Source organism: Homo sapiens, chromosome 5 (assembly GCF_000001405.40).
Source record: "Homo sapiens chromosome 5, GRCh38.p14 Primary Assembly".
Taxonomy (NCBI): Eukaryota; Metazoa; Chordata; class Mammalia; order Primates; family Hominidae; genus Homo; species Homo sapiens.
The window spans coordinates 40,824,351-40,841,101 of NC_000005.10; the positions used below are offsets into that span (position 1 = coordinate 40,824,351).

General features: G+C 42.5%; 1 protein-coding gene and 1 non-coding gene across 3 annotated transcripts, besides 2 other annotated features; both read right to left on the reverse strand.

The window, feature by feature from the left end:
* Nucleotides 1-911: 911 nt before the first annotated feature.
* RPL37 (ribosomal protein L37) lies at nt 912-10,872 on the reverse strand. 2 transcript variants are annotated; one of them, NR_159993.1, is made up of 5 exons: nt 10,833-10,872; nt 10,121-10,256; nt 9,831-9,915; nt 8,092-8,223; nt 912-3,601 (listed from the first exon to the last, which is right to left on the reverse strand). NR_159993.1 is itself a non-coding variant. In NM_000997.5 (4 exons), the coding sequence occupies exons 1-4, from the start codon at nt 10,833-10,835 to the stop codon at nt 8,154-8,156; spliced, it is 294 nt and encodes a 97-aa protein (NP_000988.1). In that variant the 5' UTR covers nt 10,836-10,872; the 3' UTR covers nt 912-8,153. The 2 variants fall into 2 exon arrangements, 1 of the variants encoding a protein (NP_000988.1); NM_000997.5 differs by having other exon boundaries at nt 912-8,223.
* SNORD72 (small nucleolar RNA, C/D box 72) lies at nt 8,306-8,385 on the reverse strand. The gene has a single exon (NR_002583.1). It is a non-coding gene; the product is annotated as a small nucleolar RNA, C/D box 72 (small nucleolar RNA).
* Nucleotides 10,773-10,932: an enhancer, noted in NCBI's record as "active region_22504". NCBI's record gives its function as "activates an Ori minimal core promoter by ATAC-STARR-seq in GM12878 lymphoblastoid cells {active_cell/tissue: GM12878}" and the evidence as "EXISTENCE:reporter gene assay evidence [ECO:0000049][PMID:35858748]".
* Nucleotides 11,451-12,274: an enhancer, noted in NCBI's record as "NANOG-H3K27ac-H3K4me1 hESC enhancer chr5:40835903-40836726 (GRCh37/hg19 assembly coordinates)". NCBI's record gives its function as "activates a minimal SCP1, AML or CMV promoter by ChIP-STARR-seq in primed H9 embryonic stem cells {active_cell/tissue: H9 hESC(primed)}" and the evidence as "EXISTENCE:reporter gene assay evidence [ECO:0000049][PMID:30033119]".

Sequence of the window (16,751 nt, forward strand, 5' to 3'; positions counted from 1 at the left end):
CTTGGCCTCCCAAAGTGCTGGGATTACAGGCGTGAGCCACCACGGCTGGCCCAAGGTTTACTTATTGCAAAGAAATAAGAAAAACTTGGTTAGTGGGCTAAAACATGGTAGTTCATTACATACATATAGTGCCTGTCTATGCTTGCATCTACAGATTTTCAACATTGGTCTGAACTCAAGACGTTGAAAAATGCCAGAGGGCAGAGTGTGATACTATCCTTAAATCTCCAGGTAGTACATCTATTCAGACCCCAAGAGTTGTCTGATAAATATGAAATCTATTCAAAATTTAACTGTTCAAAAATTTTAAAACTTTTGAGGATTTTACTCCACAATATGTGCTCTTATAGAACCTTTCTTGTGGTTGTGGGGGGATCAGAAAAGGGCAGATTTGATCTAATCAGAATTACTGGAAAATGGCTTGCTATTACCTCTTAGATGAGCTAACCCAATGCTAAAATTACTATTATTGAGACAGAGTCTCACTCTGTCGCCCAGGCTGGAGTGCAATGGTGCAATCTTGGCTCACTGCAACTTCCACCTCCCAGGTTCAAGCAATTCTCGTCTCGGCCTCCTCAATAGCTGGGACTACAGGGGCGCGCCACCAAGCCCAGCTAATTTTTGTATTTTTTTAGTACAGACGGGGTTTCACCATATTGCCCAGGGTGGTCTTGAACTCCTGACCTCGTGATCTTCCCGCCTCAGCCTCCCAAAGTGCTGGGATTACAGGCGTGAGCCACCGCGCCTGGCCCAATGCTAAAATTATATGTGAGTGGTGTCTTAGATCTCTGTACTTTATGGCGTATGATTAGCACTATCATAGTATGGATCCTTATCATAGTATGGATATGGATATGGATCCATATCATAGTATGGATCCTATTTAAGACAAATTTGCTGCAAAAGTAGTATTTCATTGTACAATATCTTTATTAAAGAAATGCATTCCAGCAACACTGTCAGCATCTTTATTACCAAAGAAATACATAACTTTAACAGATAATCTCTGTATCTTAGTTTTTGCCTTTGCAAAACAAATGGAGATATATCAACTCTCATACAATTCTAAAAGCATTGTGCTGTGCTGCCTCACAGGGGTACGTTCCCAGAGGTTTCTCTCTCTAGAGCAATCCCTAATAGGACAATTGTTCACTCTGAGGCTTCTGGCTTCTTATCTCTCCTCTCTTGGGGAGCTGCTGCTTCTCTGTAGGTTGCTTCCCTGTGACGCAGGGACCATAGTTTCTGCTCTAATAACACCTTTTCCACTCTGACGTAGCTGAGCCATACACTACATTGCCTTAGTCCTGTTCACCCTTTGGTGATTCTGTTCCATTTGCCACCTGGCCTCTTCCTCCTCAGTCACTTTTTTCTTTTTTTGAGACAGTCTCGCTGTCACTGAGGCTGGAGTGCAGTGGTGCAATCTCAGCTCACTGCAGTCTCAACTTCCTGGGCTCAGGTGATCCTCCTGCCTCAGCCTTCGGAGTAGCTGGGATTACAGGTGTGTGCCACTGCACCTGGCTAATTTTTGTATTTTTAGTGGAGACGGGGTTTCGCCATGTTGGCCAGGCTGGTCTCAAACTCCTGACCTCAGGTGATCTACCCGCCTCAGAGCCTCCCAAGGCGTGTGGGATTACAGATGTGAGCCTCCGCACCCGGCCGCTCCTCAGTCAATTCTAAACAACTGTCCTCACTTGAGGAAGCTGGCCTTTCTCCTGTACTGTTTTACCAGTTGTCTTTTTAAAAAATAACTTTCCTCCAAATAACTTACTAATTTTATTCATATAACACTCCTCAGGAGTTCAAATAATTTTAATCATTTTTAAGGCAAAGAAAATACTTTTTACATTTGCTAGATGTTTATTTGCAGAGCTACATAAATATAACCTTATTAGAATGGGATTTTTCCTACTTTGGGTAACTATCAAAAGTCTCACACACACACACAACCCAAAGAAAACATATCCAAGAACGTGGTCAGTTTTCAGTTTTTATCATTATTTATTATTTTATTTTTTATATCCCAGCCCTCCCATGTAAGACTGGTCATTTTTTAGAATCCTCAGCCATATCAAGGATACAGAAGGGGTCTAGGATAGAGACCAATGAAGAAATTTCTTTGGAGAATTGTTAAGTGCTCAATTCAGCCTTCTTGGACAAAGGAGTTACTACCTTCTACTTTGAAACCCAGTGAAAGGAACTTCAAGGAAGCCCTTCAGAGAGCTTTGAAATGTGTTTCGTACAACCATTTAGCTGGGGAGCCCAGAGAGGGCTGCTGCCATGCGATCTCCCTGAAATTGTTTTTTTCAGGCCAGGGATGTGAGAATGTTTCCTGAGGACCAGATGTGTGACACTCAGGAGAGAGCCGGCATAAAATAGCCCCCAGAGGTAAAGAAAACCTCAGGACTGAGGCTGGATACTAAGGGTTAGGAAAGAATTACAGACTTTTCTTGAGACAGGGTCTTTGTCATCCAGGCTGGAGTGCAGTGGCACAATCAAGGTTCACTGCAGCCTTGACCTCCCAGGCTCAAGCAATCCTTCCACCTCAGCTCCCTGAGTAGCTGGGACTACAGGCACATACCACCATGCCTGGCTAATTTTTTGTATTTTTAATGGAGAAGAGGTTTCACCAGGTTGCCCAGGCTGGTCTCAAACTCTTGGGCTCAAGCCAATGGCACCTCTGAGCCTCCCAAAGTGCTGGGATGACAAGCATGAACCTCCGAACCTGGCAGAGTATTTTAAATTGAGATGGGTCCATCAGATACAAGGATAACTACCCAGCAGGGAACCTCCAAAGAGGTCATACAAATGCCTGAGACAGAAAAAGTCGATTTAATTATCTGCGGGGCCCAGGGATTATGAAGCCAGCCAGCCAAGGAAGAACTACCCTATCTCCTCACTCCTCACCTTTTGTACCTCCAGTCTACACTTTAATCCCACTGAGTTAACTTGCAGCTCACAGCTCCAGAAAAGTATAAGGAGAAAGCTGAAATCAGAGGAATCGTGCCCTCCACTGCCAGCTTGCAGTTTAAAGCACACCCAAGCTATAATTAAGATTACCTTCTGACGATTACATAGGACTGCACGTTTTACCTATTGAAATAAAACTGTTTTCGCAACTAATCATGATGAAAATACTTTTTGTTATCTGTGAGTAATCTAAAAATACATGGGTCAGGTCAAGTCTTCATCCTGGGGCACCAGGGTATACTCCCACCGTATAAAGACACAAACATAAAAGCAATGTTTTGATCTGAATCCAATCCACACACGATGCTTATTCTACATACTCGTGTACATGAGAACCATTTTTCCATTGCAACTTTTCTTGTCAAAACATCCTTCTACTTACAAGGAAGATTTTGCTTAAGTCCTTCCTTTATCCTTTTTTTTTTTTGAGATGGAGTCTCGCTCTGCCGCCCGCCGTTCTCTCAGCTCACTGCAACCTCTGCCCCCCAGGCTCAAGCGATTCTCTCGCCTCAGCCTCCTGAGTAGCTGGGATTACAGGTGTGCACCACCAGGCCTGGCCAGTCCTTCCATTCTTAGTTCTTGAGGTTATGCAGTGTCTTTGCCCTGTGCTTCTCTTGTATTATGATCCAAACTCCTTTGTTTAAAAAAAAATAAAACACCTAAATATAATCCAAATGTGCTAATAAATGTGAAACAGCCTCTTTCTCTGAAACAAGTTCTTCAGTAAAATAATTCTGTAATGTATTGCTTTGCTTTTCTTACATGAAGTTATGCTATTACAAAATTAAGTTTCAATTACAGGCAAGGTTAAACTCTGCAAGCAACCCAAAACTCAAAAAGGGCTGAATGATAAGTCATTCAGGTAAAGACAAAAGAATGGCTCCTTATCATTCAACTTAACCAACCTTCTAAAGGTTCCTCCATCCCCACTGTCTATTACGCTCGTGGTATCCTTGTCTTACACACTTATCACTATCTGCAATTGTCTATTATGTCACCTTCCACAAACATACATACAGTATATACATGATTGAAATCTGTCAGGGCAGGGTCTTTGTTTTGTTTTCCACTTAAAAGTTTCTGGGCCTAGATAGCTTTTGACACATAGTAGTCACTAAATAGATACTTGCTTCATGAATGAAGGGCACCATTTAGTCAATAAAAGGGAACCACAGAATAGGTAAACTTCCAAAAGTATCTAGTGTTGTCTTTTAAACTAAACTCCCCATTCCTCACTGCCCAATCTCGTGACCTCTTGGCAAACTGGTTTTTCTTTGCTGCTCTAACATGAGAGAGGTTTATGAAAAGTAAAGACTAGCCTAAATTTTGCCAAATCCAGAATTTTAAAATATATCTTCATTCTCTTTGGCCTCAGCCACATGTGACTGAGTGCCCCCCTCAAACAATCCCCTTCCTTGGTTTGTGTGACTCCATCCAATTCTAGTTCCTGGGCTAATTCTGCAACCACTGGAGTCAGAGGGCAGAAAACACATCTGGTTTTGCTCCCACTGTATCTCTAACATGGCTTGGCACACAGTAGGTGCACCATACATAAATATGTCAACAAATGAACTTCTCCCTCTCTCCACTTCTGTCTCCAATGGACATCTCCCCAAATCTTACTTTGAGACTCTAAATTATCTTTTTGTTTTTGGAGTCTGTAAATTCACAAATGGTTTCCACCAATACTAAGTCAAGGATAGTTACTGAAGTTCATCGATGAACTCAAGCCCTCTTGCTTACTCTGACTTCTACATGCCTATCAAATCTCAGTGTTCTCATTTTCATGCTTAAATTATACAGAAATGGGAAGCTTGGAAGTTAGCTACTCACTTGCACATTCAAGTTTTAGATGTTTTCTGTAGAGAACTCCCGGACAGCCCCACAGCCACTGCCTTAGTCTGTCATGATTTTCACATGAACTATTTAAGAACCTGTTACCTAGTTTCCAGCTTCAAGACTCATCACATGCACACTAACACTTTCCACATTCATCTTGCTAGAATAACTATTCCTAACATTCTGGTTTAAATCCTCTGTAATTTCTCAAGACAAATTCTTCATAATCTGATCGCTGCTCTTCCCTGAATTCTTTTCTTACCAACCCTACACCCCATCCTTCTAACCTGACAACCAAGGTGTCCAGTTTCATAGTTATGCCCTCCTCTGACTGGTTACCATTATGTCAGCTGTTTCATTGCTGGCAAAGCCACTTACCTTCTCTCTCATCATGATTCCTTCAAGTCCTCCCTGGCTCAGCTTAAATCTTAGCCTGGCTTCACCTATTGAGTGACAAACTCCTTTCCAATGCTCTCACAGAAACTCATGCATTTATCCATCATAGTGTGTGTGTGTGTGTGTATATATATATATATATATATCAACAATATATAATTGTGTCTCAATTAGAGGTGAGGCCTCTGCAGCTCACCGCAACCTCCGTCTCCCAGGTTCAAGCAATTCTCCTGCCTCAGCCTCCCTAGTAGCTGGGATTACAGGCATGCACCACCACGCCCGGCTAATATTTTTGTATTTTTAGTAGAGACGGGGTTTCTCCATGTTGGTCAGGCTGGTCTCGAACTCCCCACCTCACGTGAACTGCCCACCTTGGCCTCCCAAAGTGCTGCGACTATAGGACGTGAGCTACCGTACCCGGCCGCCACAGATTCAACCTTTCTATTTTTGTAACTTTACAGAACATAACCAGTTACATGTGGAAACAGGTAGTCTGCTTTGACAGCTGGGGGCAAATCAACCTGACTTTGTGAACTAAGATGGGAGGGAAGTAGGGGCTGGAGGGAGGCTTTTCAGGCAGAGGACAGAGTTGAAAAGCAGATGGGGTACTTAGGAAAAATAAATTTAACATTTTTGCACACCAACATATAACACTGCAGAGAAGATAAAAGCATAATTTCTGCTGAAAAATTTAAAGTATAATGGGTATCTATACATAACTATAACTTAAGGCAGGACTGAAGTGCTGTTAAAGATAGAAATATAGACAATAGGTGGGGTGTGGTGGCTCGTCCCTGTAATCCCAGCACTTTGGGAGGCCAAGATGAGAGGATCACTTGAAACCAGGAGTCCAAGACCAGCCTGGGCAACATAGTTTAACTCCATCTCCAATGCAAGATCCACTGCTTATTTTGTTTCATTTGAAAATTTGAGTCATTAGTTCAAGGATTTTTTTTTTTTTTTGAGGTGGAGTCTCACTGTGCCACCAGGCTGGAGCACAGTGGCATGATCTCAGCTCACTGCAACCTCTGCCTCCCAGGTTCAAGCGATTCTCCTGCCTCAGCCTCTCAAGTAGCTAAGACTACAGGCACATGCCACCACACCCAGCTAATTTTTGTATTTTTAGTAGAGTTGGGGTCTCACCATGTGGGCCAGGGTGATCTCGATCTCTTGACCTTGTGATCCGCCCACCTCGGCCTCCCAAAGTGCCAGGATTACAGCCGTGAGCCACCACACCGGCCTCAAGGGTTGTTTATATGGGGGTCAGGGTACCTTCACTAGACTTAGACTTCTGAAGCCCAAACTGGCCAAACTTCACCAGCTTTACATTATACCCACAGCAACTCAGCTGTCTTTCAAGGTCATTGTTCAATCTTCAACAGACTATCTTCACTTGAAAATTTGATGATGACAGCCGGGAGTGGTGGCTCACGCCTGTAATCCTAGCACTTTGGGAGGCCGAGGCGGCGGATCACGAGGTCGAGTTCGAGACCAGCCTGGTCAACATGTTGAAACCCAGTCTCTACTAAGAATACAAAAAGAATTAGTCGAGTGAATCTCCATCTCTACAAAAAACACAAAAATTAGCCAGGTGTGGTGGTGTGCATCTGTAGTCCCAGCTACTCAGAAGGCTGAGGCAGGAGAACCACTTGACTTGAGCCCAGGAATTAGAGGCTGCAGTGAGCCAGGATTGCGCCATTGCACTATCTGTAAACAAGAAAGGCAATGGCAATTGGACTCTAACCATACATCTTTAAAGTATAGTCTCACATTTCGGGAGGAAGCCCAAGAGAGATTTAATCAGCAGGGTTTCTTTATAAGTGAATGTTCTGAAGCTGAGACCTGAAGGGTAAATTAGGAGTTAAAATACAAGATGAGAGTAGCAATTAGCTAGCACATTATAAAGCCATTCCAGGTTACAAGTAAAAGTGATACCCTTCCAAGGCCAGGTTAAGAACCTCAGATGTTATTCTAAACACAGTGGAGAATTATAATTTAAATAGCATGACTTGGCTACATCACTATTTTATGTAGCTGTTCCAGCAATTCATGTTCCCTTCAACTGCCCCTGCCCTCTCACTCAGCAGTCCAGTTGACTTTGTCCCTTCATTTTAAAAAAACAAAAAAAACCCCCAACCCTGTCAATAAACCACGAAAACTAGGAAGGCACGACAGCAAGTTTCAGTGCTTTAACACAGAAACACCCAATTACCAAGTTGAGGGCTAAAAAAATTCGACCAAGTAGTCCCACATCATTGCCTTTAGTCTACAAATCTCAGGGATTATACTTGATTTTCCTTTATTTCCTGCTCAATCTTTACTTGCACCCAAGCCCTACTTTTTCTCAAACCTATTTACATATTCTTAAGTTGACTCACACCTAGCAGGCTTTTTTCACTTAGCTAGCCACCTTACACACAGCCCACAAGTCAGGTGTGCCAAGTGAGCATTACAGATACTAGGATAAGATCATCTTTTGAAAAACAGAAGCCACCTAAACTCCTACCCATACGTTTCCAGTGGTACTCCCAAGCTCTATGTGACTAATAATCATCCCCCTAGTCATGACAGCATAGCAGATGAACATGTTGCTAAAGGTAATTTAAACATCATACTCTTTCAAATTTACTCAAACATCTAAAATACCCACCTATGCCACATGAGCTGTGCTATTTTAATCTGCTATATTGTCTTCCAGTGCCCTCTGCTTCAAGGACTCCTGGAATTCTGCTTGTTTCTCATTGCCTTTAACCGTGTTACAAACCCAGTCCAAAAGTAAACATTCCAAAACAGTCACTTAACAAGTAAATCTGATATGAAGCTAGCCCAGTCCCTAAACCTACAGTATTTCACTGATACTACAAGCCTAATTGATTAAAAATACCTTACCAAAACCAGATATGTATTTTTTAAAACCAGAACATTTATTGCATGACTAATCGTTGACATTCTTAAGATGAACTGGATGCTGCAACAGCTGCCCTCTTGGGTTTAGGTGTTGTTCCTTCACGGAATCCATGCCTGCAGGATGTCAAAAACAAGAACAAGTTACTTCAGCAACATCGATGCATACATTTTAATTTTTGTTAAACAGATTTCAATGCGCTTATCTCAGTTAAATGCTGAAATCAATACTGCATTCATATGTTCAGACATTTATTTTTACAACATCACTGATAAGCTGAAATTCTTCACTTTGCTTAAAGATACCCATTTTCGGATATAGTTAACTGCAACTGCAATAAAGGCTCAAAAACTTATTTGGCTATACTAGTCATTGGGCCAGTATGTTTGTTCATATTTGGCAAGAGATCACAGATTATTTGTGAAAATGGTTCCCTATACTGAGAATAGATCCCAACTACTTTCACTAAGCAAGGAAAAAACAATTAGCATGTTTAATGGCAGACATTTTCTAAACCAAGAGCTTTGCATTTTAACTTATTTAACATCTGTATCTACTCTAAGAAGTATCTACTCTAAGAAAGGTCAACTATCCTACTTTTAAAAGCCTGGCTTCAGTTCAAGCTCTTAACTCCTATATTGTACTAACAGACCACTCAACATTAAGCCCACAAAAACGTTATGACCCTAAATGCAAAGAAAGTTGCTTCAGCACATGAACACACCTATGGGTGTCTACAAAGCCCTGAACTGTCTTGCTATCTTTAAAACTGGACACTCCGGAGACTGAGTGGGTAGAGGCTAGGGATTCTGCAAAATATTCAATTTTGCACTGGACAATCCCACCACAAAGAATTATCCAGCCCAAAGTATCAATAGCTGAGAATTGCTGAAATAGAACATAGTAACGGAAGGAGCACCAGCTTTATAGTTAAGTCTGCATCATTCTGAATCTTAGCTGAGATCTTAGATGGGTTAATCTCTTAGAAACTACTCTTTAATATGCAGGTTCTCTCAGCTAAGTCTACGGCGGAGCTGAGATTCTGCATTTATAACTCTAAGGCCAAGACTTGAGTAACAAGAGCCCAAGGCAACAGCAGCAACCAGGGCAATTTTCTACAGCACTCTTGCCCACAGCCACTATACTAAAGGTTGAACCAAGCCTGACTCCAGACCTTATTCACTACTGTCTTGACAAATTTTGACACCAATTAAACCTAATAAATATCAACACTTTGGGACCCTAGTTCAAACAATGCTCCTGTTATTTAATTTATACTACTGTTTAGTGAAAAAACTACTAATAAAATCCAAACTAACTGATGTCAAGGTTACAGCGGCAGAAGATAAAAGCTTTCAACATCTGGCCTGAGCCCAGGAGTTCCGAGATTATCCTGGGTAACATGACAATATCCCATTCTCTACAATAAATACAAAAATTAGCTGGGCATGTGGCAGCGCACACCTGTAGTCCCGGGTACTCGGGCGGCTGAGATGAGATTACCTGAGGCTGGGGAGACTGAGGCTGCACTGAGCCGTGATCGTGCCACTACACTCAAGCCTGGGCAACATAGTGAAACCCTGCCTCAAAAACAACAATAAATAAAAAGCTTCCAACATCTCATCCCCAGTAACCATCAGGGTACTGTTATCTTTTTACAAGTAAACACGAGGGTTTCATTCAAGCCCACTGGACCAATTATGATCGAACATACAAACTGTACCTGAATCTGCGGTATACAATTTTTAGGTGCCTCATTCGACCAGTTCCGGTGGTATTTCGTCTTTTAGCCTTGGCACTCCAGTTATCTAAAACATAAGTTCAGAAAAGATTTCAAACGGTGTTCTCCCACACACCTTGTAGGTGTTGTTAACACACGAGTTTTATGCCACCTCATCGGCATACAGATGTACGAGTTTTAAGATAGGCACCAAATAAAGTTCAAACCTATGCCCCCACTTAAGTGCAATACAAACAAAAGCTAACACAGTTGGCCTGAAAAATGTTACTTACACTTTCTCTTGCGCTTGGCAGGGTAGCCACATTTGCCACAGGTCGACTTCTGAAGGTGGTAGGCCTTAGAGCCACAGCGGCGGCACAACGTGTGCGTCTTATTGCGACGCTTTCCAAACGATGACGTTCCCTTCGTCTGCACATTAAAGGAATAAATAGTTCTGAAACCTGGCAACTTCTAGATTTACTCGAGTTCTCCGGGAAACCAATTACTGATAAAATTTAAAGGCAATCGTAAAGATCGAAACTGCGGGAGAAGCCTCTTTCCACGAATGCCAAGTCAGAGACCACTACCCGCATTTCACGTTACCTAAAACCCTCCGCAAGAGTTGCAATGTTCTGAAATGCACCTTATCTTTACAGACTCCGGCCAGAGAGCATCACCAATGAATTATTTCATTGTTACACAGAGCCAAACATTCCCAAACTCCTTCCCTCGGCTCCCAACCAAGGCTAGAGCCGTGAAAGGTCTCCAAAGGTTGGACCGAGGCAAAGGACACAATGCGGCTCTAGCACCACAATTACGGCGGGATAGGTCCCCCAGGCACCAGTTAGCAGTCATTCTTCTGGCTCTTGAGGGCCACCGCATGCCTCTTTCCAGCCCACCAGTTCCCCTTATCCGGAATCTTGCCAGCCCCCCAAGCACAGCAAACAGAGAGGCACAAAGGACGAGGATGGAACGCGATTCACAAACACCACAGTCACAACTCACCATCTCGCTTCTGCGGCCGAGACCAGAAAGACCGGAAGAGAAGGCACTTCCGCTATATCACGCTCAGAAGCTTCCGCCCAGGGAAGCACTTCCTGCGGGGCGCGGTGCAGCGTTCTCGAGCGTCCGTCGTCGTAGTGTAGGTGGGGTCAAGAGGAGGATGCGGTACCAGGCAGGGCCGATCGCGTTTCAGTGCCGGAAAGGCGGGCGGGACTCCCAGTTTTCTGGCGACCGGATGGGCGAGTCTTCGTCGGGCCTGCTTAGACCCTGAGGGCCGTTTAGATTACAGTTTTGCTTTTCGTGCTGCTGTTGCTGGTGCTACTGCTACTACTGATCGGTTTCGCACGTTAGCAGTCAGATCTGTTGCTATACCGTCGATTACTGTCTTCTAGGCACATGGAGAACCTGGAATGCGGGGCTGGCCCTGCCCAGGGGTACCCGCACCGACTGAGCGTCCCCGGCGTGTAATGACCGTGTGCGCCTGGGATAATCCCTTTTAGGAGAAAGCAACTTCTCCAGCAGCCTCCTCATTCCGATCCCGGAGGCTTTTGGCCGACGCTGACTTTCCCTGCGAGAGGTCGCTAGGAGTACGGAGGCATGGAGCTGGAGCTTAGAATATAAAGGGAAAAGCAGACAGTGATTTTGTTGTTGTTGTTACTGTAGTAAATCAGAGGCAAGTTATCTGATCCCATATTTCATTGTGCCAAGGAATCACACATGGAACTTGTTCAATATAGTTTCCAAGGGCCTGGCGCCGTGGCTTACGCCTGTAATCCCAGCACTTTGGGAGGCTGAGGCGGGCGGATCTCTTGAGCCCAGGCGTTGGAGACCAGCCTGGGCAACATAGGGAGACACTGTCGCTACAAAAAAAATACAAAAAATTATCCAGGCGTGGTGGCGCGCGCCTGCCAACCCAGCTACTCAGGGGGTGGAGGTGGAGGGAGGCTTGAACCCGGAAGGTGGAGGTTGCAGTGAGCCGAGATTGCGCCATTGCACTCCAGCTTGGATGACGGAGTGAGACTCTGTCTCAAAAAAAACTGAGAAAACTAAAAATAAAATGTTGCCAGAGCTGCTTTCCGTTCTAGGAGGGAGAATCTGTTTTCTTTCCTTTCTCAGCTTCTAGAGACTGCCCAAACTCCTTGGTTTATTGCTCCCTTGCATCTTCAAAACCAGTGATACTGTAGTTCCCCCCCGTTTCTGTGGGTTAAGTTCCAACACCCTCAGTGGATGCCTGAAACCACAATACCAAACCCTATATATACTGTTTTTTCGGTACATGTGTACCTGTGATGAAGTTAAATTTATGAATTAGGCACCATAAAAGATTAACAACAACTAATAGAACAATCATAACAGTATACTGTAATAAAAGTTATGTGAATGTGGTCGGTCTCTTTTTCTCAAAATATCTTATTGTCCTGTACTCAACTATTTTTAAACCATGGTTGGCCATGGGGTAACAAACCCTGAAATCCTGCAAAGGGAAACCTTGGATAAGTGGAGACTACTGTAGTCTTTCTCACATTGCATTACTCTTTATTCTGCATCTGTCTTATTCTTTTTCCTTTCCTTTTATTTTTATTTGTAGTAGAGACAAGGTCTCACTGTTGTCCAGACTGGTCTTGAACTCCTGAATCTTCCTGTCTTGGTCTCTCAAAGGGTTCGGGTGCCCTGCCATCCTTCTCCTACTTTTAAGGCCCCTTGTGATTACATTGACTCCATCCAGGTAACTTCCTTATCTCGAGTTTCGCTAATTAGCAACCTTAATTCCCTCTGCAATTATAATTGTCCTTTGCCACATAACCTAATTTATTCGTAGGTTGAGGGGATTAATACCTTGTTATCTTTGGAGACAGCCATTATTCTGCCTACCACGGGGACTATGAGAAATGAGGTCAGTGTAGAAAAGGTAGGACAGGTGTCAACCATTAAGGAACCAAGCAGTGTGACAGGCATTATGTCAGTCTCTTTACTCCAGACATTCCCAGAATTGAAGACAGGAGAGAATTATTTTTCCTCCTCTCTCTAGTGTTCGGTGGTTCTTTTTGGTGTATGTCAAACCATGTAAATTTTGCCCTGATCAAGTAAACCCTTGGCTTTCTTTAAAGAGGTCTATGAAGGCTAGTCAGACCCTCCAATTTTCTATACAATTGCTAGGTTTAGGTCAGGGCTAGTGACTGTATCAACTTTTTTTTTTTTTTTTTTTTTGAGACAGGGTCTCACCTGTCACCTGGCCTGGAGTGCAGTGGTGCCATCGCGACTCACTGCAACCTCTACCTCCCGGGTTCAAGCAATTCTTGTGCCTCAGCCTCCCAAGTAGCTGGGACTACAGGCGCACGCCACCACCACGCCTGGCTAATATTTTGTATTTTTAGTAGAGACAGGGTTTCACCATGTTGGCCAGGCTGGTCTCGAACTCCTGACCTCCAGTGATCAGCACCCCCTCAGTCTCCCAAAGTTCTGGGATGACAGGTGTGAGCCACCACGCCCAGCCAGGACTAGATCAACATCTGAAACGGATGATCTAAGGCTGTTAGCCTAGGCATTCACCCCCTGACATTTTGCTTTTTGGCAGTGATAGAAACTATGTTAAGTCCTGCATCCATGGTTCTGATACAATCAAGTCTCTTGACCACCAGGACTCAGCACTGAGACCTGCCTCTTTTTATTTCTACAATACATGAAATTACTGTTGACTTTTGTCTTTAAAACATCACATAAATTCATTAGGAGCAATTCAAGGGAGAATTTACTGTACATTCATACCTATGATAAAGTTTAATTTATGAATTAGCACGGTAAGATTAACAACAACTAATAATAAGGCTGGGTGCGGTGGCTTACACCTGTATCCCAGCACTTTGGGAGGCTGAGGCAGGCAGATCACCTGAGGTTGGGAGTTCGAGACTAGCCTAACAAAACAAAACAAAAAAAGCTCAAAAAACAACAATAATAAAATAGAACACATTTAAAACTTTTAATCCTGTGTTATTATTCTGATTTGAGGTCTATACTTTCAATTTTGTACCTCCTGGCTATATTTTATATAATAGAGAACATCCTGGTTACACTCATCCTTCCCCCACCTCACTTCCTTTGCATTCTAAGGCTGTGGTATGCAAATTTCTGTTATTAAGAAACAATTTTTTTTTTTGAGACGGAGTTTTGCTCTTGTTGCCCAGGCTGGAGTGCAATGATGCTATCTTGGCTCACCGCAACCTCCGTCTCCCGGGGTCAAGTGATTCTCCTGCCTCAGCCTCTCAAGTAGCTGGGATTACAGGCATCGACCACCATGCCCGGCTAATTTTGTATTTTTAGTAGAGATGGGGTTTCTCCATGTTGGTCAGGCTGGTCTTGAACTCCCGACCTCAGGTGATCCGCCCACCTCAGCCTCCCAAAGTGCTGGGATTACAGGCGTGAGCCACCGCACCCGGCCATCAACAAACAATTTAAACTAGACAGCCTGGCATGGTGGCTTACACTTGTAATCGCAGCACTCTGGGAGGCTAAGGTGGGAGGATCACTTGAGCCCAGGACAGCCTGGGCAACATAGAGAGACCCCATCTCTACAAATAATAAAAAAAATATGGTTCACGCCTGTAATCTTAGCACTTTGGGAGGCCAAGGCGGGAAGATTGCTTAAACCGAGGAGTTCGAGACCAGCCTGGACAATGTAGTGAAACCCTGTCTCCACAAAATTTTTTTTTTAAAAAGAGCTGAACAGGTTGGCGCAAGCCTATACTCCCAGCTGCTCAGGAAGCTGAGGGGGGAGGATTGCTTGAGCCCAGGAGTTTGAGGCTGCTGTGAGCTATGATTGCACCATTGCACTCCAGTCAGGGCAACAGAGTGAGACTCTGTTTCAAAACAAAACAAAAGGAAAACTTGTAGAAAGAAGTTTAAATTTCAGTGCTAAGTTTCCCACTTCAAGTGAACACTTTTTTCCCATTGGCTTTGAAATCTCAGAAAGGTTACTGTGAGAAAGGAGCATATTTAGGGTTGAGCATTGGAGAGGAGACTGGTGGTTTGGGACACCTGTTATTAAAGTACCTTCCTGGTCAAGTTGAACAACAACAACAAAAAATTGGCAATCTTTATGACAGTGCCAATCAAATTGTGGACATGAGGTGGGATGCATCACTTGAAAGCCATACTTTTGAGATACATATTTTAAAACTCTTACCTAGAGTATAATGGTGGTTACCAGAGAGAGGCTGGGAGTTGCGGGGAAGGGAAGGGTGCTGGTCAAAGGATACAAAGTCACAGACAGGAGGAATAAATTATAAGTATTGAAGGTGATGTATATGTTAATTTGAGTGAATCATTCCATACTGCATACATATAAAATTACTGAATATCCCATAACTATATATGATTATAATTGGTCAAAGTAAATAAAAATTTTAAAACTCTTCAATTTTATAAAACTCTTACCTAATATTAATTTTTAATATCATATGAGGATTTTTTTTTTTAAGAGCCTAGGCTAGAGTAACTTACTACAACCTCAAACTTCTGGGCCGAAGCAGCTCTCCTGCCTCAGCCTCCTGTCCCAAGCAGCTGGGACTACAGATGCGCACCATCACGACCAGATAATTTTTAAATTTTTTGTAGAGACAGGGTCTTGCTATGTTGCTCAGGTTGGCCTCAAACTCCTGGTCTCAAGTGATCTTCCTCAGACTCCCAAAGTGCTGGGATTACAGGCATGAGCCACCTCGCCCAGCCAGGATTTTAAAATTCTTTTTTAACCTTGGAGATACCAGAATTGTATTACTCATTATCCTTGGTTCCTAATAGCATTGGTTCATGCATGTTCTGCTTTTATTTACATATTAGCTATTTACCTTTAACAATATAGTAGCCCTGATAGGCCCAACTCCTACATTGTAGGACATCCATGATCTCCTCCCCAATCCCATCCCATCCCCAAGCTCCCCATATGCGAGGTAACCATCATTCTGAATTTCATATTTATCATTCTTTGCTTTTTGTTTTGTATAATTTTAATGACTTCATGTATACTCTTAAATGTAAGGGTGTGTTTATTTTCAACTTTTAAAAAGGTTGTCATACTGTATATAATCTTTTGGGATTTACAGTTTTTCCTTACTATTGTTATGATTTCTCTATATTGTGGGTCACTGAAGTTCATTCTTTTTGAATGCCATGTAATATTATGTTATAAGAAATATCACAGTTTATTCATCCAGTATCCTGTTGCTAGTTATGCAGATCGCTTTCAGGTTCTTGTGAACTATGAAGGAGTAAATAAAGACCAACCAGGTAATTTTCTTAAAATAAATAATAATAAAAAACCAAAAATGTAAAATATTAAATAGTAATGTTTAAAGTGGAAGTATAAATCTCCCTGTAGTCATATTCTCAGAGATAACCAGTGTTAAAATTTGGGATATCTCTTGTCTTCTTTAAAATATAATGCATATCTGCATATACATATTATATACATATACTATATACACATTAAGTTTTTTAAAACAAAAATGAGATCTATAACTTGCTGTTTCCATAGCAATATATCATGGATATCATTACTTGTCAATATGTAGAGATGTACTTTATCCTTTTTAACAGTTCTTTGGTGTTTCACTGTCGACATGTCAATATTTATTCCCTAAACCCCAACTTTGGTTATTTTCAATTTTGTACTGTTGTAAACAATGTTGTAATGCAGATTCTTGTACATACATCTTCGGGCATTTGCTCAATTATTTCCTTAAGATAATTTCCTAGAACTGGAATTGCTGGGTTGAAGGATATGAAGTTTTATTTTTGTCTGTCTTCAACTTTATTTATTTATTGCTGTATATTGCCATATTGCCCACCAAATATCAATTAATAATTTACATTCTTGGCATCATAGTATAGTTCTCTGAGCAGGGAATACCTAGTCCAACCTGAAGTTCA